This window comes from Homo sapiens, chromosome 6 (assembly GCF_000001405.40).
Source record: "Homo sapiens chromosome 6, GRCh38.p14 Primary Assembly".
Taxonomy (NCBI): domain Eukaryota; kingdom Metazoa; phylum Chordata; class Mammalia; order Primates; family Hominidae; genus Homo; species Homo sapiens.
Window position 1 is genome coordinate 88,412,950 of NC_000006.12, and position 24,814 is coordinate 88,437,763.

Consider the following 24,814-nt stretch of genomic DNA (forward strand, 5'->3'; position numbering starts at 1 on the left):
CTAGAAAATCCAAAGTCATCTACAGATAAACTATTTGAATTAAAAGTAAATTCAGCAAGATTGCTGATACAAAGTCAATATACAAAAACCATCTACTTAGAAATAATTCCATATATAAACACAAAACAATAAGAAAATAATATGTGAAAAGCAATAACATTTACAATTGCATCTAATAAAAACACCAAATACCTAGTAATATATTTTACAAAAGACATTGAAGACTTCTATTCAGAAAACTGCGAAACTTAATTGAGATGAATTGAAGAAACCTAAACAGATAGAGAGATATATAATGTTTGTGAGTTGAAAGAGCCTATATTGCAAAGCTATCAATTTTCTCCAAATTAAAGTATGTATTCAATTCCCAAAAAATCCCAGCCAGGCTTTGGTGGTGGTGGTAGTGGTGGTAGTGGTGGCGGTGGCAGTGGTGGTGGCAGTGGAGGTGGTGGTAAGGATGTCTTTAATTGACAAAATAGTCCTAAACTGTACATGGACTTTTAAAGATCCAAGAACAGCAAAGATAGTCTCCAAAAAACTAATCTGGAAAACTTGTAACACCAGATATCAAGATTTATTGTAAAGCTACAGTCACAGCACAAAGATATGTAAATAGACCAAGGGATCAAAATAGAGCCTGCAGAAACAGACACACAGTTATATGGTCACTTGATTTATAAGAAACGTGTTACTGCATGAGATAATGGTCTTTTAAATATAGACCCCTCAAAAATAAAGTATGACCTCATACTATACTTGCAAATCAATTGAAAACCAGTCCTATGTGGAAGTTAGATCTCAATGTGGAAGATGAAAAAAAACCCTCTAGATTATCATATTATAGTATAACTTTATAGACAAAGCTCTTTTGTTTGTTTGTTTAAGAGATGAGGTCTTGCTTTGTAACTCAGGCTAGAGTGCAGTGGCATGATCAGAGTTCACTATAACCTTGAACCCCTGGGCTCAAGCGATGTTCCTGCCTCAGCCTCTGAGTAGTGGGACTATGGGTCTGTGTGACCACACCTGGCTAAATAGCTTTCTTTTAAGACAGAGAAAAAGTCATAAGAAAATAGAAAAAGATGGATAATTATGTATACTAAAAGCAAGGACTTGTGTTCATCCAGAGACACCTATAAAAGAGTCGAAGGCAAGCCAAGGTATAGAAGATGTTAATATGCATATATTTGCAAATTACTCATACTCAAAATATATAAAAAATTTTTTCTTTTTTTTTTTTTTTTTTTGCAGTTGCAAGATTTAATAGAGTGAAATAGAGTGAAAACAGAGCTCCCATACAAGGAGGGGACCCAAAGGGGATTGCCATTGCTGTCTCAAATGCCTGGGTTTATATCCGGATCCTTGTCCCTCCCACTGTGCTCTCAGGCAATTGATGATTGGCTATTTCTTTACCTCCTATTTTTGCCTAATTAGCTTCTTAGTGAGCTCTCTGATTGGTTGGGTGTGAGCTAAGTGGCAAGCCCCATGTTTAAAGGTAGATGCGGTCACCTTCCCAGCTAGGCTTAGGGATTCTTAGTCGGCCTAGGAAATCCAGCTAGTCCTGTCTCTCAGTCCCCCCTCTCAACAGGAAAACCCAAGTGCTGTTGGGGAGGTTGGCTGATGACTGCTCTAACTGCTTCCTGCTGAATTGGGTCATAGTAGGGGTTGTGCAGTTGAGATTTCCTCGGGAGGGGTGCCTTCAATGTCATTAACATTGGAGCATGGGCTAGGAGGTTGATCAGGGGTCTGCAGTGGATCTTAGTCATGGACTGCATCTGGGGCTCCATTTGAAGAATGATTTGTAGTTTTACAGTTTCAATTCTGGAAGAGACAAACTTAACAAGGAGGTTAAAGATACAGGGATTGAAATGTATGGTCTGCAATGCAGGGGATTATTTCTTTGGCACACTATAGAGGCCCTGCTTGATAGTTTTGAAAAGGCCTGGTGCAGTAAATAATAATTTGGCCATCTCATGGGTGCTATCAATGCATAAGTGAAAGGTTTGGTGAAGGGTTTTAAGTAATTTCCACTGGTTAGCTGCAGGCATAAGTATTTTTCCTTCTTCGGTGGCTAGCCATCCTGAGGGGAGGAAACTATGTCTTCATGAGGTTCCTCATTCTATTTCTTCTTCCGAGTACTGGGGCTTGGTTTCCTGGAGGGGATTACCCCATACTAGGGGTCCTTCTATAAGCATTTCTAATGGAGGGTCCTGCCTTGTGGCTCTTTTGGCTTCAATATCCGCTTGGTGGTTCCTTTCTATTTCCCTTTCCTTTCCTTCCTGGTGACCCCGGCAGTGTAAGACTGCCACCTCTTTAGGTTTCGGTACAGCCAATAGTAATCTCCTGATGGCTTCCTGATGTTTGATAGGTATTCCCTCGGAAATTAGGAATTCCCTTTCTCTCCATATTGCTGCATGGGCATGGAGGACTAGGTAAGCATACTTAGAGTCTGTATATATATTTACCCTTTTCCCTTCTCCTAATTCTAGTGCCTGAGTGAGGGCTATTAGTTTTGCCAGCTGAGCACTAGTTCCTGGAGTGAGGGGATTACTTTCAAGTATTCCATTACGACTGACCACTGCATACCCTGCTTTTTGAAGTCCTTTTTCTACAAAGGAACTTCCATCAGTATACAAGTTGAGGTCGTGATCAGTCAAGGGCACCTCTAAAAGGTCCCCTTGAGTGGCATAGGTTTGAGCAATTACTTGTTGACAATTATGTTCTTTCCTCTCTTCATTGTCTGGAAGAAATGTGGCTGGGTTAAGAGTTGCACAAGTGCGCAGTCGCAGCACTGGCTCTTCAAGTAATAGAGCCTGATATTTAAGTAAACGGTTGTCTGACAGCCACAAGTCTCCTTTAGCAGTGAGTATGCCGTTCACATCATGAGATGTCCACACAGAAAGATCTCTTCCCTGTATTATTTTAACTGCTTCAGATACTAAGACTGCTACTGCTACCATTACCCATAAACAATGAGGCCAACCCTTTGCCACTACATCAATTTCCTTACTCAGGTATACCACGGGTTGCAAGCTCATCCCTCAGACCTGCGTAAGGACTCCTAGAGCTATTCCTGTTTCTTCTGTGACATATAAAGAAAAGTCTTGCCCCGTTGGCAAGCTTACAACTGGGGTTTGGGTTAGGGCCTTCTTTAGGGCCTGGAAAGCCACTTCTGTTTCAGGTGTCCATCTTACTATATGGGTATTGGCTTTCTGAGTTTCCTTAATTAATGTACATAATGGCCTGGCTATTTCACTGTATCTGGGAATCCATATTCGGCAGAAGGCTGTTATGCCAAGGAACCCTCTTAGTTGCTTTAGGGTTTTGGGATGAGGATAAGCCAGTATACGCTGGATACGTTCCTCTCTGAGGGCCCTGGTGACTTTGGATAATTTTAGCCCTAAGTATTTAACCTGCTGTGAGCAGAGCTGAGCCTTTTGTTTGGAGCCACAGGTAGCGAGGAAATTTAAGAGCGCTTGGGTGGCTTGATGCCACAAGGTTTCTGAATGGGTGGCTATAATTAAATCATCCCCATACTGAAGAACAAGAATGTCCAGCTATGACAATTGGCTCAAGTCTTGGGCTAATGCCTGGCCAAATAGACGGGGGCTATCCTTGAACCCTTGGGGTAAAACAGTCCAGGTGAGTTGAGACATTGGATCTTCAAAGGCAAACAAGAATTGAGAGTCAGGATGTACAGGGATGCCGAAAAAGGCATCCTTAAGGTCCAGGACTGTAAACCACTCTGCTTCCTCTGGTATTTGGGAAAGCAGAGTATAAGGGTTAGGTACAGCTGGGTATAGAGGAACAACAGCCTCATTGATAATCCTGAGATCTTGCACTAACCTCCACTGTCCATTGGGTTTCTGTACTCCTAAAATTGGAGTATTGCAGGGGCTATTGCATGGTTTTACTAGGCCTTGGGCTTTTAGGTCCTTAACAATCTTTTGGAGTCCTTGTTGGGCCTCGGGTCTGAGGGGGTGCTGCCTTCAGTAAGGAAAGGAGGTGGAATCCTTTAGTTTAACTTGAACAGGATGGGCATTCTTTGCTCATCTATGTTGTCCTTCTGTTGCTCAGACTTCAGGATTAATTCCTTCCTCAAGCAGGGGACAACAAACAGGTGTTCCTTTTCCTACGTTCAGATGTATAATGGCCCCTGCTTTTGCTACAATGTCTCTCCCTAACAAGGGAGTGGGGCTTTCAGGCATAATTAGAAAGGCATGTGAAAAGAGTAAAGTTCCCCAGTCACAATTTAGTGGCTGGGAGAAGTATCTAGTGACTGCCTGTCCTAGGACCCCTTGGATAGTGACAGATGCGGAGGACAGTTGTCCGGGACAGGCGAGTAAGACTGAGAAGGCCGTGCCAGTGTCCAGGAGACAGTTAACCTCCTGGCCCTCAATGGTCAAGCATACCCAGGGCTCTATGAGGGTGATGGCATGGGCTGGTGCTTGCCCTGGGCACCCTCAGTCCTGCTGCAGGATCATCTGGTTAGTGGCTTCTGACTCAGAGGACCTTCATCCCCTGGGGCAATGGGTCTTCCAGTGATTCCCTTGACATAAGGGGCATGGACGAGGGGGTGGCTTATTTCTACTTGGACAATCTTTTTTAAAGTGTCCTTGTAGACCACACTGGAAATAAGCCCTATTAGGCATTTGATTTGCCCAGCTTTTCCCTTTTCCAGAGCCTCCAAAGTCTGATTGCCTGAGGGCCGTGACTAAAGCGGTGGCCCTTTTTAAATCCCGTTTGTCCCATTCTGCCTGCTCCTCCTGATCTCTATTATAAAAAACCGAGGTTGCCAAGTTCAATAGGGTTTCTAAGTTTTGCTCTGGGCCTAAGGTGGACTTTTGAAGTTTTTTCTAATGTCTGCAGCTGACGGAGTGATAAACTTATCATTCAAGATTAGTTGGCCTTCAATAGAGTCAGGTGACAGAGAGGTATGCTTCCTCAATGCCTCCCTTAGTCTCTCCAGAAAGGCAGTAGGATTTTCTTCCTTTCCCTGTTATAGTGGGTGTTATAGTGGATATCATTTAATAATTCATAAGCTTCTTCCTAGTTTTCCTTAGTCCTAGCACGCAAGTTAGCGAATGTCTGTGGCACCAATCTCCATGTTCTGATTCTGTGTCCCAGTGACGGTCTACACTGGGAACTGCCTGCTGGCCTGTGGTGAATCGTTCTTTCCTCTGTTGTCATCCTATCATTGACCTGGCTGAGATACCAGAGATTGCCAAACTCTCAGGCTGCACTTATGGCGGCACTTCTCTCATTTGGGGTTAGTGTCTGATTTAGCAGTAACATGATATCTCTCCATGTCAGATCAAAGGATTGCCCCAACCTTTGTAAAACATCAATATAGCCATCAGGGTTATCTGAGAATTTACCTAGGTCTATTTTAATTTGCTTTAAGTCTGAGAGAGAAAAAGATACATGCACTCTCTGGCTGGGCCAAATTCTCCTCCTCCCACTGCTTGGAGGGGGCAAAATCAGGGAATATTGGCACTGTTTTGTTCATCGTTTATCCATTTGTCTATCTCCTTTGGACCATTCGGGTAAAAGGGGGGTCCTTATTATTTGGGGAAGGAGTCAGGGGGATGCTGGGATAGGGAGGTAGAATCTGAGGGCTTCCTGTAGGACATAAACCACACTTTTTACATAATTATGAGTTGTCTCTTAATGAAAAGAAAGTTTGCAAATATGGCACTTCACTCCATTTGCCCTCCTTTCTACAGAAGAGGTCTGGCTGTAAGATGGTGTTATAATTTATACTTCCCTCAGGAGGCCAAGTTTCTGCCCCTTGAAGAGGATATCGTGGCCAGGCGGTACTGCAGAAGAATATAAGTCATTTCTTTCTTAGCGTCTGAGGGTCAAATTGGTCCTAATTCTCCAGAATACATCTCAGGGGCATTTCTGCCTTGGGGTGGGGGGAACATTTCCCATCTGAAAAAAGGACATAGGGGTGCCAGCACCCTTAGTCATTTTCCATCGAGCGTTAGTCCTAGAGCATCCTCTAAGGGCCTAATGTTTATTCTTTTCCAGGGTGCATAACCACCCATGGACCTCTGCTTATTGGATTAGTTATGCTAACTGATGTAGCAGTTCTGCACCTGTTTTCCCGCCTCTCTTGACCACAAAGAAAGGGGTCCGGGCTGCTGGATTCTAGTGGTCCTTTACCAGCGTGCCCAACATTGCCTTTGGGCTCAGGGGTGAGATCCTTTCCAGGGTGCGTAACCACCCATGGACCTCTGCTTATCGGATTAGTTATGCTCACCAATGTAGCAGTCCTGCACCTGTTTTCCCGCCTCTCTTGACCACAAACAAAGGGGTCTGGGCTGCTGGATTCTAGTGGTCCTTTGCCAGCGTGCCCAACATTGCCTTTGCACTCAGGGGTGAGTCCTAGAGCTGGGCTGGGTTCTTGAGTATTTCATAACAACCCAGCTGCCCCATCAAGATGCATTCCTATAAAAAACAATTCTTATGTAAATTCATTTCAGAGAGGGTGTAGCGAACCTTTTGATTCAGGATTGAGATAGTCTTTTGATTCTGTAAGTACTTTAAGGCTTGGCTGAGTGCAAACAGCTCACATGTTTGAGGAGACCAATTATTAGGCAATTTTTCTCACTCTGCTTCCACACCAGTCTCTGTATCAATTACTGAATACCCATTGTGGTTTTCTCCTCAATCGCCTGGGAGGAACCATCTATCCTCCGGTCCTGAAGGGAGTTCCTCCTAGGTCTGGTCGGACCTTTGTATGGTAATTAAGATTTAAATCCCCTGTTAGGAAATCTGCTGGGTTAAGGGAATTATCAGTGGTTGGAGTTACATTACCCTTTTCTAACACAATAGCCCCATACTTTAAGATTTTTGATTTAGTAAGCTACCTTTTTGCTTTTTTTTTTTTTTTGACTTAGAATAGTTTAACTGGTGAGGTGTGCTGTCAACGAAGTTTCCTCAAAAAGTTCCTTTTCTACTTTTAGCAAAGCAATTGCCGCTACCGACCGAATGCATTTGGCCCATCCGCGGGTTACTGGGTTAAGGATTTTTGATAGGAAAGCTACAGGTTGTCAGTGGCCTCAGTGCTTTTGGGCTACGCCCTTATTTACATTGACAACAAAGTGGCATTGAAGTGTTATAGGGTCACGGAGAAGACCTTCAATTATCAATTACAGGTTTTAAATTTACCCTGGCTTTTAAAGGAATAGGGCACACTTTTTTTTTAAAACTATTTCTATCTTTTTCTTTCTTTCTGTCTTTGACTCTGTCTTTGTCCCTCTCTCCATCTCTCTCTCTCCGTCTCTCTCTCTCGCTCTCTCAGTCTCTCTCTCTTAGCCATTACAAACTTGGGGCCCTGGCAAGGGTGGTGGGGAACGGGTCCCACATAACTGCCCATAACTGCCCATGTCAAGAGCTGTATACCTAAATCGGGAGGGACACCAGGGATAAGACTGCCTGGGTTATAGTCTAGCTGCCTAAGGACGCAGCGTAGAGCTTCCTTAGATCCCCTTGGAGATACGACTTGCTAGAGGAAATGAAAGTCTGAACCATTAGTACCTAGGAGGCAGGGATCAGAGGAAGTAGATTCAGAGGTAAGGAGAATTTTGGGGCTACACTTTCAAGAAAGTCGTGGTCGGGACCCAGGAGGTATGGGTCAGAAGGAAAGGTGGGGCGCATGCACAGGCGACTGCTGAGTAGAGACTTCTGGCTGTGCCATGATCTCAACCGGCTACTGCCGGGAGTTCAGGACAACAGCTTTCTGTCTCTAGGCGGCCCTTGGCTTCCCCAAGAAAACTGAAAGTGGAAGCCGGCGCGAGGCAGACCAACGTCCCCAATAGAAGGGTTGGGGGTTGTTAGAAATCCCTTCCCCAGATAGCCTCACACCTGAGTCTTAAGTCCTGTGGCCATGCTAATCGTTTTTAACTGGCCGACAGGTGCCTGGTATTTTCCTCCAGTTCTAAGGAAGGATAGGACAGAATAGCAAGTGAAAGTGGTCCGATATTACTCACCGCTTTGGAGGTCCCTTCGTGGTCGCCAAAATGTTACCGGGGGGTCCTTGCTCACAGAGCTCCCAAGATGGTGGTGGGCCACTTCCAAAATGGCGGCGGGCCACTTCCAAGATGGTGGCAAGCCCCGTGTTCTCTGACCTGGGGTTCTTGGCCTCACAGATTCCAAGGAATGGAATCTTGGGCCATGCGGTGAGTGTTATAGCTCTATTAGAAGTCGTGGGTCACGGAAGAGAACCATGGAACCCAGTGACTAGTGTTCAGCTCGATTAGGACGAACCCAGGCACTTAGCCATGCAGGAACAATGGCAAGCCTTTAGCCCAATCGGGAGTGGCAATGGGCGCCTCACTGGATCAGGAGCACAGCAGACACCCTGCCGGATTCAGAGGGATGGGTGTCAGCGGCGGGTCTGCGAAGGCGGCAAACAACAGTGGTGGACGGCGAGCGAAAGCTCAGTTTGAGCCGTAACAAACATGGACCAGAAGAGGGCAGTTGCAAGATTTAATAGAGTGAAATAGAGTGAAAACAGAGCTCCCATATAAGGAGGGGACCCAAAGGGGGTTGCCCAAAATATATAAAAATTTCTAACAATAAATTTTAAAATTCTGACCTAATAGAAAAATTGGCAAAATGCTTGAACAAAAACTTCTCAAAAGCAAGTATTCAAAACGTCACAAATATATATGACCAAAAAAATTGTTCTGCCTTTTCAATCATCATTTAAATATAAATTGAAACCACAATGAGGTGCTACTGCATACTTAGAATAGCAGTTTAAAAATTACCAAGAATTGAAAAGTATGAGGAGCAACTGAAAATCTCATACACTACTTCTGGGGATGTAAACTGGCAACAACATTTAGAAAAAGCTTCTTGGCATTGTTTCTAAAGCTGAACATATACATGCCCCTAGCACCCAGCAATTCCACTCCTTAGTGCATAGCCAGCCAAAATTCATACATATTTAATCCAAAGGAAATGTACAAAAATATTTATGGCAACATTATTTATAATAGCTCCGACTGGAAATAAACCCAATGCCCATTAATAGTAGAAAGAATAAGTAAGTGTTGGTATGGTCGTATAATGAAATACTACCTAGCAATAAAGATAAACAAACTGCTAAAAACAACATATATGAACCTCACAAATACAATGCTGAGATAAAGGAGATATAAGTATACGGGCCACTCACATAAAAAGTTCAAAAGTAGTCAAAACTAATCAGTGGTATAGACCTCAGGATAGCAATCATCTAAGTCTGGGAATTGGTAGCCCAGGTGGGGTGCACAGAGGAGGCTTCCAGGGGGCTTCCTTTCTCATCTGTATGGTGGTGACACAGAGGGACTGATTCATAATAAATTAATCACACATACACTTATGATTGGTGTCCTTTTTTTATACAACCATATAAAAATTATCTAAAATCGGCCAGGCATGGTGGCTCATGCCTGTAATTCCAGCACTTTGGGAGGCTGAGGCAAGCAGATCATGAGGTCAGGAGATCGAGACCATCCTGGCTAACACGGTGAAACCCCGTTTCTACTAAAAGCACAAAAGATTAGCCGGGCATGGTGGCAGGCGCCTGTAGTCCCTGCTATCCGGGAGGCTGAGGCAGGAGAATGGCGTGAACCTGGGAGGCAGAGCTTGCAGTGAGCCGAGATCACGCCACTGCACTCCAGCCTGGGTGACAGATCGAGACTCCGTCGCAAAAGAAAAAAAAAAAAAAAACCTAAAATCAACCTATGAAGTATCATATCTATTGATGAAAATGGTGATGTAAGTATAAAAAAAGACAAAAAGTTAAAATGTGGTTGTTCCTGTATGTTAGAAATAAGAATTAATTAATTTACAATTAATTTAAAGATTACTATTTTCTTTTCTGTGTTGTTCTCAGTTTTCAATTTTTCATGTTTGACCAAGAATCACGTTTCCATTTTAAAAGGGAAATTTAAAGTATTTTAAATAGAGTAAGACCTCTGCAGGCTGACCCATCAGTTAGCCGGACCAGGAAGATAGATCATAGTTAACAGATGAATCCAATTATTTCTTTTTTTTTTTTTTTTTGGCAGCGTCTCTCTCTGCTGCCCAGGCTGGAGTGCAATAGCGCCATCTTGGCTCACTGCAACCTCAGCCTTCCCAGTTCAAGCGATTCTCCCTGACTCAGCTTCCCGAGTAGTTGGGTTTACAGGCATCCACCACCACGGACCCAGCTAATTTTTGTATTTTTAGTAGAAACGGGGTTTTGCCATGTTGTCCAGGCTGGTCTCAAACTCCTGACCTGACCTCAGGTGATCCGCCCTCCTTGGTCTCCCAAAGTGCTGGGATTACAGGCATGAGCCACCGCGCCTGGCCTAAGAAAATGCTTCTTAAAGAAGTTACTGGGCTGAGTAGGAGTAAGTGATAAGCAAATAAAAAATGAATCAGTCCAGAGGAGAATAAAACATTGTACTTCAAGTTAAACTCAGTGAGAAATGATCATATGTTGTATTTCATTACCCCTTTATAGTTTCAGCATGGTTTCTTGTCCATTTTCTCATTTTAACCTCACAGAATTGTATGAAAGAATTGCGGAAGGGGCTATCATTATCATTTCATAAATAAACACATGAGTACTAGAGACAGAAAGTAACATGCCAAAACCTAGAGCCTGGCAACTATTTGTGGAAAAATAACAGTGACCCAGAAATTCTTGTCCCAATTGGTTTACCTTTTATGAGAAATGGCAGTAGATACTTTTAAATATTCAAAGATACTCAAAATATACCCTACAAGTACTCATCTCAAACATTATTCAAAAACCAATTATAGACAAAAAAGTTGTAAATTTTTTACATTACTACCAGTAAATAATTTAAAATAATTTAAAAACAGGAAATAGAAACTAAGACCTTAGGCGTTAAAATGTAGGAACATAAATGAATTTACAATGAGTTTTAAAACCAAATAAACTTATGAAATTAAATATAAATAACTAATAAATATTACCAAGTTGAATCTAGAAAATAAAAACAATTCTAAAAAATCTTGTACTCTGAAATATATAATAGTCTGAATCCATAACTATTAACATAGTCAATATTGGCATGTGTTTGACATATCAGGAAGTCAAAAATTTTTTTTTATTCCTAAACTTTGAAAATTAAAGATATGCTTACGGTATTTTTTTAACTTTTAAAAAACCATCAGCAGAATTTGAAACAAAATAACCCCCTTATATTCTCTACAGAGTAAAAGATATGCAAATGCAAGAAGCACACATAAACGTAAAACAAGATGATTGGAATGAGAACTAGTAGCTCATTTAGATCAATGTAAATGACTTAAACTTTTAATTAATAACAAAAACTCTAAGATCGGATTGGAAAATAAATTCTAGCCAGAAGATTCTTACAAAAGACACTCAAAAGTGATGCTGAAACTTTAAAATTGAAAAATGAATAATATAGTTGGATATTTGTCCCTGCTCAAATCTCATGTTGAAATGAAATCCCCAGTGTTAGAGGTGAGCTTGGTAGGAGGAGTTTGGATCATGGGGGTAGATCCCTTTTGGCTTGACGCTGTCCTTGAAATAGTGAGTTCTCGTAAGAGCTGGTTGTTGTCAAGTGTGGCACCTTCACCCAACCCCTTCCCGCTCTCTCTCTTGCTCCTGCTTTTGCCATGTGAAGTGCCTGCCCCTCCTTGGCCTTCCACCATGAGTAAAAGCTCCCTGAAGCCCCCCTAAAAGCTGAGCAGATGCTAGCACCATTCTTCCTGTAAAGCCTGTAGAAGCATAAGTCAATTAAACCTCTTTTCTTTATAAATTACCCAATCTCAGATATTTATAGCAATGCAAGAATGGCCTAACACAATGAGTTTACATCAAAGACAAAGAAAAAGCAAAGGCAGAAATATTAATATCAGACAAAGATGATTCAAGCCACAGACATTGACTATGGTAAAAGAGAAATATTTTATAATGAAGCATCCCCATACTGAATATATAGCAACTAAGAAATATATAAAATGGGCAAATAAATGTATACAATAAAACCTTTTGCAAAAGAACAATGTCAGAGGCAATTATAGTAGAAGCCGTAATACAGTATTCTCAATCTCTGACAGGCTAAGTAGACATAAATAAGGACATGAAGCTTTAAATAATTTAAATTCCAGCCCTGAATTAACAGATATATAGTATTTGTTCTCTACAGGTAATATACTTTCTTTCTTAAATTTTATTTTTAATTGAAAAATAATAATCGTATATATTATATATTTATGGGATACAGGGTGCGTTTTGATCCATATTTACACTATGGAATGATTAAACCAAGCTAATTAACAAATACATTGCCTCATGTACTTATTGTTTTATGATGAAAACATTTAAAATCTACTCTTCATAATTTTGAAATATACAATGCATTATTATTTAATACTTTATTTTTAATTGTCTGTTCTTCATTTCCAAAAAGTGACTACAACTTTTGAATTCAAAAAGCAGACATTGTGTGACCCACATGCTCAGAAAGTCAGACAGGGCACTACGTCTACAGCCAGTAACAAAGGCTTAAGACAAAAATCTCAAACAACCTGAACATTTTTTAAAAACTCTGTCTTAAATAACTATCGGGTAAATGAAGACATCAAAATTAAAATCACAGATTCTTTTTAAAATAACAAAATTAGGAACATCACCTTTTAGAATGTGAAAAGTGGGGACAAGAGCTGTACTTCATATTTTAGAAGTTAAAGGAATTTTTCTCTCTTTTATCCCTTTTTTTAAAATCTGGGTCTTTCTGATTAAGTTCTCTTAGCTGGTGAGATTTAAATATAGTCATCTAATTGTCTCTAATAAAAGTTGGAAAACGAGACTACATTCTCTTGGCGTATCTGCCCCAGCAACTGACCTTAGAAGCAATTGAATTTCTGCAGCTGAGCTGTAAAGCAGGCACTGGAGTTGACGCATCACTGAGTTTATGTCCAGTGACTGGAAATGCCATCCATAATAACAACACCTCTGCTCAAAGTCATCCTCAGCTAAGTTTCTTAGCTGTCTGAAATATTTGCGATCTATATCTGCCTTTGTAGAAAGGATGCTGTTAGAAGACATTGTCAGGGTAATATAATAGCAGGTTGGACAGGAGAAGGGGAGCATTGTCTAGCTGAGGCAAATTTCATACTTCTGGTACCAGCTTAACCTGAGTAACAGGGCTGCTGAGGGCCTGCAGGGCCCCACTCTGGCTGGACAGTGATAATATGTATGGGGCAGAGGGGAACGGCAGCGCATCAGGCTGGATGACTCTGATAACTGGGAAGTCAGCTGTGGCTTTTGGCCACCTGTTGACAAACACAACAGTCCTGTAATGAAATTCAGTAAATACAATGATAAGCAAGTTTCATCTGCACCATTTCAAAAGAAGAGTTTTAAAATCTGAATCTGGGACTTTTTACACTCCACTGAAGGCAATAATGTCAGTATCAGACAGAGCCAAATTTTCTCTGTACAATTTGGAATGAGAAAATGGTTCTGCTTCCGGAATACAGTGTCTAATATCTATATGCTTGCTTAAAGTCTATGAAATGCAGGCCGCCTAGTCCCATTTCCATAGAGATCACAATAGGCAGGACCCTGAATCCAAAAAGCTCCCAGCAATCTAGCATGGGTTGTCTTCAAGGGACAGCACAACACTATTGCCTGGACTGGGATGAGGCTTTGGTGTGCCTGAGAGATTTGCGAAGTAGAGAAGTGTCTGAGCACATGCCTTAAAACATGACTTGCCTCAGAAACACTGGGTCCAAAGACAGAAACAAAAGTAGGGTGGTGGCCAAAATGCCTTTGGATATTTAACAGAGACAGATGGTACGTACAGTGATTTTAAAACTACAGTTTGCAAAGTGCCTCCAAATATTAAAATGTGGATACAAATCAGTGTCCCTTCATTGGGGAAAGAAGAGAGGCTGTTTTTGCAGAACCTCTAGTTTGCTGTCCAAACATTTAACCTAGATTCTACCATTTAAAACTGGTACTACTTGAAAGTAAAACCAAATGTGACTCTTCCGTCTGATACTCTTGCCTCTCAGCAAACTCTCTCCTATTTATTAATTAAATATATTATTTGTCATTGGTAAATAGTGTGACATTGTGCCTTGGCTCTTCCTACCCTTTTCTGCTTTGATTTTTATAGTTCCTATGAATGTTGAATTGTATTGCTCCCTTTTCTACCCTGGAGATAAGTACTCTGAGCCATCCACATTGTTTTGCTAAGCCCATTGAGGGTTAAAGCTCCAATTTTTTAGGTGATTGTCCAGAGGCAGGGGTTGAGTTTGACCTTGAAGTGGTTTTTCTCCCAAGTCAAGTCAATTGGCTAATGCAGGAACTAAATGAAGGCTGTGAAGCCATGGATTTCCATAGTTGTCTTCTGGTTTGTGATTCTTCCCATTGCTTTTCCATTATGCTGGAATCTTATAGAAAATAGTTTATGGCTCATTAAAATAAAAACTGTAAAATTATATTGCAAGATAAAATAACTATTGCTGAATTAAAATTTTCATGTATCTTCACATAGTCTCATGGCATTAAGAGAAAATGCATTTATGTCATGAAAAAGGATGGCATTCTTAGAGATGGTCACACTATCTAGCTAGAGCCATATTGACCTCTATAACTTGTGTGTGAAAAGTGCTGAGCTTGTGTCCAAAACTGACTTTATTTTTATCTTGTGCCGTTGCTTCAAATTTGCTCTGTAGGAAGTTTTCCTCTTCTTTTTCTTTGATGACAACTGGGGCAAGCTCCATAATTTTTTTTTAAGTATAATTTACATATGGTAAGGAAATCCATTGTAAATGCACAATTCAATGATGGTAGTAAGTATCTAGTGAGTTGCACAACCATCATAACAACCCAGTTTTAGAACATTTCCACGACTCCCCGACCAAAATTGCTTCAAGCCCATTTACAATGAATCCCTGCTCCCTCCCCAGACCCAGGAACCACTGATCTACTTTCTGTCTCTATAAATTTACCTTTTGTGGTCACTTCATATAAGCAGAATCATACAATTTGTCGTCTTTGTGTCTGGCTTGTTTCACTTACCACAATGCTTTTGAGATTCATCCATATTGTAGCATGTATCTGTGTTTCATTTCTTTTTATTGCTGAATGGCATTCCATTCTATAAGTATGCCATGGTTTTGTTCACCCATTTGCCAATCAATGTGCATTTAGGTTGTTGCCATTTTTGGCTGTTATGAATAATGATGCTGTGAATTTTCACCTACATATCTTTGTGTGGACGTATATTTTCATTATCAGTTGACCTTAGTCAATTGATGGGTTAGTTTTTGGACTCTCAGTTCTGTTTCATTTTTCTATTTATGTATCCTTACATCAATACTAAACTTTCATGATTACTACAGCTTTATATTAAGTTTTGAAATTGGATAAGTCATCCAAGTTTGTTCTGTTCTAAAATTGTTTTGTTTTATGTAGATCATTTTCATTTCCATATAAATTATTGGATCATCTGCCACTCAGAGTAAAACCAGAGAAGCAGAACCAGTAGGAAAGATATATATTAAGAAATTTATTATGAGAAATTGGCCTATGCAATGGTAGGGGCTTTTTAAGTAAGACTAAAACCCACAGGCAGGCAGTCCAGAAGGTCAGGCTAGAACTGTTGGGCATGAGCTAATGCTACTGTCCAAAGTAAAATTTTCTTCTTTTTTTTTAGGGATGCCTCAGACCCAGTTTTAAAGTCTTCTAGCTGACTGAATCAAGCCCATCAAGATTATCCACCATCATTTCTCTTAAAGTTAAATATTCATTAATATTATGCACACCTGCAAATTTCCTTCACAGCAACACCTAAAATTAGTGTTTGATTGAATAGCTGGGGACTGTAGGCTAGCAAAGTTGACACATTAAACCAACAAACAAAATTACAATCAGGTTGTCAATTTCTATAATGAAAGCCTGCTGGTATTTTGAAAGGGAATGTGTTGGTTCTGTATATCAATATGAAGACAACTTCCACCTTAACAATGAGTCTTTCAAACCAAAACATAAAATGTCTCTCCATCTCTTTTTTAATTTATCTCAGCAATATTTTGTAGCTTTCACTGTGGGAAGATTTTTAATTACTAACTCAATTTCTTGACTTATCATAGGTCAATTAGATTTTCTGGTTCTTGAATCAGTTTTGGTAATTTGTATCTTTCTAGGAACTTTTCCGTTTCATTAAGTTGTCTAATTTATTGGCATAAAATAGTTAATGATATTCTCCCTTAATCATTTTAATTTCTATAGTACCAGTAATTCTGTCCCCTCTCTTATTCCTTATTTTGGTAATTTGAGTCTTTCTTCTTATTTTCTCTGTCATTCAAGGTAAGGGCTTATCAATTTTCTCTATCTTTTGAAAGAATGAACTTTTGCTTTCATTGGTTGTCTTTATTATTTTTGTTCAGTTTTGTTTTGTATTTCAATAATTTTCAGTCATTATCTGCTTCCTTATACTTGCTGTTAATTTACTTTGTTCTTTTTCTAGTTTTTTAAGGTAGAAGCTTAGATTATTGACTTTTGATAGCTTTATTCTTTTCTGATAGGTTTTTAAAGTTACAAATTTTCTGCTTAGTACTACCTAGATTTTTCCATATACTTTTATATATTGTGTTTTTGTTTCATCCAATTCAAAATATTTTTTTACTCTCCCTTTTGATTTATTCTTTGACCCATAGGTTGTTCAGAAGTGTGTTAATTTCTACATATATTGGGTTTTTACCAGATGTCTTTGTATGGTGAATCTCCAATTTAATTCTTTCCTAGATTAGCATATTGTATAACCTAGAGAATGTTGTATGTGCACTTGAAAAAAACTGTATTTTAATTCTTTGGATCAAGTGTTCTATAAATATCATTTAGAGCATGTGGGTTGATAGTCTTGCGGAAGTCTCACATACCCTTGTTGTTTTTTTGTCCAATTGTTCTATCATTTATTGAAAGTGGGCCATTGAGATCTCTAACTATTATTGTTAAACTGCCTATTTATCCTTTCAAGTCTGTCAATATTTGCTTCATGTATTTTGAGGCTCAGTTATAAAATACATATACATTTTAAATTGTTGTATCCCCTTACTGTATTGATCCTTTTATAATTATGAAATATTTTTAGTAATATTTCTTATCTTAAAGTTTGTTTGATATTATTGTAACCACTCCAGCTCTTTCATAGTTACTTCAATATGTCTTTTCCATCCTTTTACCTCCAAACCATTTCTGTCTTTGCATCAAAGGCATGTCTCTCATAAACAACAATTATTGAGTCTTGTTTTCTTTGGTTCAGACAGACAATCTCTGCCTTTTGAGTAGGGTGTTTATTCCATCCACATTTGTGTAATTATTAATATCACTGTATTAGACAGACAACTTCGCTATCTGGTTTCTATTTGTCTTATGTTGGTTTTGTCCCTCTGCTCTTCCTTTGCTACTGTATTTTGTGCTAAGTAAATATTTAAATGTCTAATCCAAAAGGAAAATCTTCTAAGCCTAGAGCTAGATGAAGAGTGTTAAACATGAAGCCAAAAACATAGCTTATAAGAAAGAAATTAATAAATTGGACTTCCTCAAAATTAAAATTTTTTTGTTCTATGAAATACCTTTTATCAGAGGGTGAAAACACATGTTACAGACTGGAAGAAAATATTTACAAACTACACATTTAACAAATAATTTGTATTTGAAATATATAAAGATATTTCAAAACTCAACAATAAAAAAACAAAAACTTTAATTAGAGGATGAGCTAAAGACATGAACAGATATTTCACCAAAAAGAAGATGCACAAATAAACACAAAAAAAATGTTTACCATCATTATCCATGAGAGAAATGCAAAGTAAAACTACAGCAATATAACACCTGTGCACCTATTAGAAGAACTGAACTAAAAAAATCGTGATTATACAATATGCTGACAAGGATGCAGAGAAACTAGATCCCTTATACATTGCTGATGAAACTACAAAATAGTACAGCCACTCTGGAAATCTTGCTATTTTCTTATAAGACTAAATACTAATGCACTTTTCATACCACCCAGCAACTCTCAGGTGTTTTGTTTCTTCAGAGAAACAAAAACCTATGTTCATACTAAGACTCATACAAGAATGTTTACAGTAGCTTTATTTATAATAGCCCCAAACTGGAAATAACTCAAATGTCTTTCAACAAGTGAATGGTTAAACAAAGTCTGGAAAAACCACACAATGGAATACTACCCAGCAATAAAAAAGAACAAACTACTGATATAGCCAACCATTTGGATGGATAAGTGTATTTTACTTAGTGAAAAAAAAGGCAATTCATAAAGCAACACACTGCAATATATGATTCCACTTATATGTCATAATGAAATGATACAACTATAAATATGGAGAACAGATTAGTGATTTTTGGAAGACGAGGATGAGGTCAGGATCAGATGTGATTATAAGCACACAGGAGTTCTTTGCAGTGTTAGAATAGTTTTGTATTTGATTGTGGTAGGATTACACAAATTTATACTTGATATCAAATTGCATAGAACTAAACACCACACACACAAGTGCACACAAAAACCAGTGAAAAACTGAATAAGGTCTGTAGTCTAGTTAAAACTATTTTACCAATGCCAATTTCCTAGTTTCTCATATGTATTATACTATAGTTACAAAAGATGTCACAATTTAGGGACGCTGCTTGAAGGATACAAGAGAATCTATGTATTTTTTGCACCTTTCTGTGTCTATAATTGAAAATAAAAAGTTAAAAACAAAACACACATTCACACACATACATTTAAAAGTGTCCAGTTCAATATATTAATCCATACTTCAATTTTCATCTAAAGATAATGCTCCTTCTTGGAGTTATTCCTCTTCTCCAGGCTTGCTAAACTTGATCTCTTCCTCCATCGGCCTCAGTGATGAAGATGGAGGTTGGGGGAGAGTATGGAGGAAATAAGGGAAGAGAGAACAGAACAGTTCCTGTTTGATTGGCACTGCCTGAGGATGGTATCGTGTTCTTCAGGCCTGGCAGGTCTTCAAAGTCGACACTGTCTCATCAGCACTTCTATGGCTTCTGCAAAGACCCCCCGCTCTTTGTTCTTCAAACCACAGCCCTCTGACTAAAGGCAATGCCTCTTCATTGCTGGCCATCCTAGTCCCCTCTCTGCCTCTGCTCCTACTGATACACCCCACAGCTTGTGAAGGCCAACACTCTCACAAGAGATTGGGCAGAATCTCTGAAAGCAACCTGAGGCCATTGTGCTTTCCATACTCAGTAACTGGGATTCCTATACCTTTGATCTGCTGACAGAAGTGGGTGCACTCAACTTTATGGCTATAAGCCACTGGCACTTTCGCACATGTGAGTTGAGCATCCATTCTCTATGTATCTCCCTCCATCCCATTTTAGTAAGATCTTCTAGAATACTCATCCTTATGGAATTCTCATAATAACATCAAAAGGAAATACTACTACTACCTCAACAAAGATATATATTGCATCTGATATCACTGCATTTGGTCTTAAAAATGAAGCCCCATGACTAGTAGAATAAATGTTAATTGCAACTTGTCTGATTCATTTCTCCTACCTAATAGAGACACAGGACAGTATCTTAAATTTAGATTTAGTGAACCATTTTCATTCAGACTACAAAACATGCCACCCATCCTGAAACAAATTTCTGGACCACTATAACACTGCAGTTTAGCAAACAATTAAACATACACACACAGAAATCAACCTTAACTAGACAAACTTCACACATAAGATGGATCTTTGCAGGGTCTGAAGACTGTCATGGAACTCTGCAGCTTGAGCAAGACTCTGTAAAATGACACACTAATAAGCAAAAAAGAGAAAGAAAAGTTCGAGCAAATGATCCAGCAGAGCTGGAGGGAACTAACAGGCAGAATCCTAAATTGGATATGTCACATTTTGGCAATAACAGCCACTTGTGATTAGTATGAGACAAGGCACTAACAGGCTAAAGGGCCCACGAGAAACCTAAATAAGTGGAAAACAAATGAACCTCCAACAAAGAATGAAAATGAAGACAACTCAATCATTGCAGACTTCCTTGTCTTGTCAGCACCTTCACTCTTCCTTCAACTTCACACTGTGCAGTGTTTCTGTCCCCTGAATTTTCCTTCTCAAGGCCACCCCATCCCAACATTGGAGCCTGTGCTCTCAAGCCTGGATTATGATATTAGCTCCCTAACTTGCGTCTTTACCTTCCGTCTGCTCCCTCCAATTTCTCCTACATGAATCACCAAACAAAACTTCCTCAAAGGCCATTTTCACCTCATCACTCCTGGGGTCAAGAATTTCCTGCTTCTTGAGACACACATAGGCTCAAAATAAAAGGATGGAGGAAGATCTACCAAGCAAATGGAAAACAAAAAAAGGCAGGGGTTGCAATCCTAGTCTCTGATGAAACAGACTTTAAACCAACAAAGATCAAAAGAGACAAAGAAGGCCATTACATAATGGTAAAGGATCAATTCAACAAGAAGAGCTAACTATCCTAAATATATATGCATCCAATACACGAGCACCCAGATTCATAAAGCAAGTCCTGAGTGACCTACAAAGAGACTTACACTCCCACACATTAATAATGGGAGACTTTAACACCCCACTGTCAACATTAGACAGATCAACAAGACAGAAAGTTAACAAGGATACCCAGGAATTGAACTCAGCTCTGCACCAAGCGGACCTAATAGATATCTACAGAACTCTCCACCCCAAATCAACAGAATATACATTTTTTTCAGCACCACACCACACCTATTCCAAAATTGACCACATACTTGGAAGTAAAGCTCTCCTCAGCAAATGTAAAAGAACAGAAATTATAACAAACTGTCTCTCAGACCACAGTGCAATCAAACTAGACCTCAGGATTAAGAAACTCACTCAAAACCGCTCAACTACATGGAAACTGAACAACCTGCTCCTGAATGACTACTGGGTACATAATGAAATGAAGGCAGATATAAAGATGTTCATTGAAATCAACAAGAACAAAGACACAACATACCAGAATCTCTGGGACACATTCAAAGCAGTGTGTAGAGGGAAATTTATAGCACTAAATGCCCACAAGAGAAAGCAGGAAAGATCCAAAATTGACACCCTAACTTCACAATTAAAAGAACTAGAAAAGCAAGAGCAAACACATTCAAAAGCTAGCAGAAGGCAAGAAATAACTAAAATCAGAGCAGACCTGAAGGAAATAGAGACACAAAAAAACCCTTCAAAAAATTAATGAATCCAGGAGCTGGGTTTTTTTGAAAGGATCAACAAAATTGATAGACCGCTAGCAAGACTAATCAAGAAAAAAAGAGAGAAGAATCAAATAGATGCAATAAATAATGATAAAGGGGATATCACCACTGATCCCACAGAAATACAAACTACCATCAGAGAATACTACAAACACCTCTATGCAAATAAACTAGAAAATCTAGAAGAAATGGATAAATTCCTCGACACATACACTCTCCCAAGACTAAACCAGGAAGAGGTTGAATCTCTGAATAGACCAATAACAGGAGTTGAAATTGTGGCAATAATCAATAGCTTACCAATCAAAAAGAGTCCAGGACCAGATGGATTCACAGCTGAATTCTACCAGAGGTACAAGGAGGAACTGGTTCCATTCCTTCTGAAACTATTCCAATCAATAGAAAAAGAGGGAATCCTCCCTAACTCATTTTATGAGGCCAGCATCATCCTCATACCAAAGCTGGGCAAAGACACAACCAAAAAAGAGAATTTTAGACCAATATCCTTGATGAACATTGATGCAAAAATCCTCAATAAAATACTGGCAAAACGAATCCAGCAGCACAACAAAAAGCTTATCCACCATGATCAAGTCAGCTTCATCCCTGGGATACAAGGTTGGTTCAATATACACAAATCAATAAATGTAATCCAGCATATAAACAGAACCAAAGACAAAAACCACATGATTATCTCAATAGATGCAGAAAAGGCCTTTGACAAAATTCAACAACCCTTCATGCTAAAAACTCTCAATAAATTAGGTATTGATGGGACATATCTCAAAATAATAAGAGCTATCTATGACAAACCCACAGCCAATATCATATTGAATGGGCAAAAACTGGAAGCATTCCCTTTGAAAACTGGCACAAGACAGGGATGCCCTCTCTCACCACTCCTATTCAACATAGTGTTGGAAGTTCTGGCCAGGGCAATTAGGCAGGAGAAGGAAATAAAGGGTATTCAATTAGGAAAAGAGGAAGTCAAATTGTCCCTGTTTGCAGACCACATGATTGTATGCCTAGAAAACCCCATTGTCTCAGCCCAAAATCTCCTTAAGCTGATAAGCAACTTCAGCAAAGTCTCAGGATACAAAATCAATGTACAAAAATCACAAGCATTCTTATACACCAATAACAGACAAACAGAGAGCCAAATCATGAGTGAACTCCCATTCACAATTGCTTCAAAGAGAATAAAATACCTAGGAATCCACCTTACAAGGGACATGAAGGACCTCTTCTAGGAGAACTACAAACCACTGCTCAATGAAATAAAAGAGGATACAAACAAATGGAAGAACATTCCATGCTCATGGGTAGGAAGAATCAATATCGTGAAAATGGCCATACTGCCCAAGGTAATTTACAGATTCAATGCCATCCCCATCAAGCTACCAATGACTTTCTTCACAGAATTGGAAAAAACTACTTTGAAGTTCATATGGAACCAAAAAAGAGCTCGCATCGCCAAGTCAATCCTAAGCCAAAAGAACAAAGCTGGAGGCATCACGCTACCTGACTTCAAAGTATACTACAAGGCTACAGTAACCAAAACAGCATGGTACTGGTACCAAAACAGAGATATAGATCAATGGAACAGAACACAGCCCTCAGAAATAACGCCGCATATCTACAACTATCTGATCTTTGACAAACCTGAGAAAAACAACCAATGGGGAAAGGATTCCCTATTTAATAAATGGTGCTGGGAAAACTGGCTAGCCATAGGTAGAAAGCTGAAACTGGATCCCTTCCTTACACCTTATACAAAAATCAATTCAAGATGGATTAAAGACTTAAACATTAGACCTAAAACCATAAAAACCCTAGAAGAAAACCTGGGCATTACCATTCAGGACATAGGCATGGGCAAGGACTTCATGTCTAAAACACCAAAAGCAATGGCAACAAAAGCCAAAATTGACAAATGGGATCTAATTAAACTAAAGAGCTTCTGCACAGCAAAAGAAACTACCATCACAGTGAACAGGCAACCTACAAAATGAGAGAAAATTTTCGCAACCTACTCATCTGACAAAGGGCTAATATCCAGAATCTACAATGAACTCCAACAAATTTACAAGAAAAAAACAAACAACCCCATCAAAAAGTGGGCAAAGGACATGAACAGACATTTCTCAAAAGAAGACATTTATGCAGCCAAAAAACACATGAAAAAATGCTCACCATCACTGGCCATCAGAGAAATGCAAATCAAAACCACAATGAGATACCATCTCACACCAGTTAGAATGGCCATCATTAAAAAGTCAGGAAACAACAGGTGCTGGAGAGGATGTGGAGAAATAGGAACATTTTTACACTGTTGGTGGGACTGTAAACTGGTTCAACCATTGTGGAAGTCAGTGTGGTGATTCCTCAGGGATCTAGAACTGGAAATACCATTTGACCCAGCCATCCCATTACTGGGTATATACCCAAAGGACTATAAATCATGCTGCTATAAAGACACTTGTACACGTATGTTTATTGCAGCACTATTCACAATAGCAAAGACTTGGAACCAATCCAAATGTCCAACAATGATAGACTGGATTAAGAAAATGTGGCACATATACACCATGGAATACTATGCAGCCATAAAAAATGATGAATTCATGTCCTTTGTAGGGACATGGATGAAATTGGAAATCATCATTCTCAGTAAACTATCGCAAGGACAAAAAACCAAACACCACATGTTCTCACTCATAGGTGGGAATTGAACAATGAGAACACATGGACACAGGAAGGGGAACATCACACTCTGGGGACTGTTGTGGGGTGGGGGGAGAGGGGAGGGATAGCATTAGGAGATATACCTAATGCCAAATGACGAGTTAATGGGTGCAGCACACCAGCATGGCACATGTATACATATGTAACTAACCTGCACATTGTGCACATGTAGCGTAAAACTTAAAGTATAACAATAAAAAAAAAAAATTTCCTGCTTCCACATTGACTACCTACCTCTCAAGAACTCTTTAACTCAACTTTAGGAGTAAAAGCAGATTCTCTCTGTAAGAGTGTACCCTTACAGACTTGTAGAGAATACATAAAAACTCAAGCACATTTTAATGCTTTCTGGTATTTCTCAAGACTGAGCCAGGGAGAAAAGTGACATCTCTTGTCTGAGAGGGGGTTCAGGGTCTCCAATTCTCACCACTCCAGGCAAGGTGCAGATCAGGCTGATGGCATAGAAGGGAATGGGCATGGTTCCCGCCAGCTGGGGTCCTCTCTTCTCCAGACTAAGAGGATGTGTGCTTTGGTGGTCAACTCCAGCAGATGCCACAGCAGCAGCACAAGTAGCTCGTGCGTGTTCTCCTGTCTCAAGATGTCCTCATAAATTGGCCATAAATCCCCTTCTTCTTATGGCTCCTGGATCTCTGAATAGAGTCACTAACCAATCATGAGTGGATAAGTGTTAACATTAATATATGACTAAAGCTAAATACCACCTGTAATGGGTTGAATCGTGTCCCTCAAATAGACATGT

The 24,814-nt window shown here is 39.5% G+C and overlaps 1 long non-coding RNA gene across 6 annotated transcripts in view; it reads right to left on the reverse strand.

Moving 5' to 3' along the window:
* The window catches only part of LOC105377885 (uncharacterized), a 143,181-nt gene that overhangs the window by 113,211 nt on the left and 5,156 nt on the right, over positions 1–24,814 (reverse strand). Inside the window, exon 3 of one of the 6 annotated variants that reach the window (XR_001744254.2) lies at positions 24,429–24,717. The exons of the other annotated variants lie outside the window; for them this stretch is intronic. This is a non-coding gene — a long non-coding RNA (uncharacterized LOC105377885). Of the gene's footprint in view, positions 1–24,428; positions 24,718–24,814 lie in introns of those variants that run through there. 6 annotated transcript variants of the gene reach the window in all.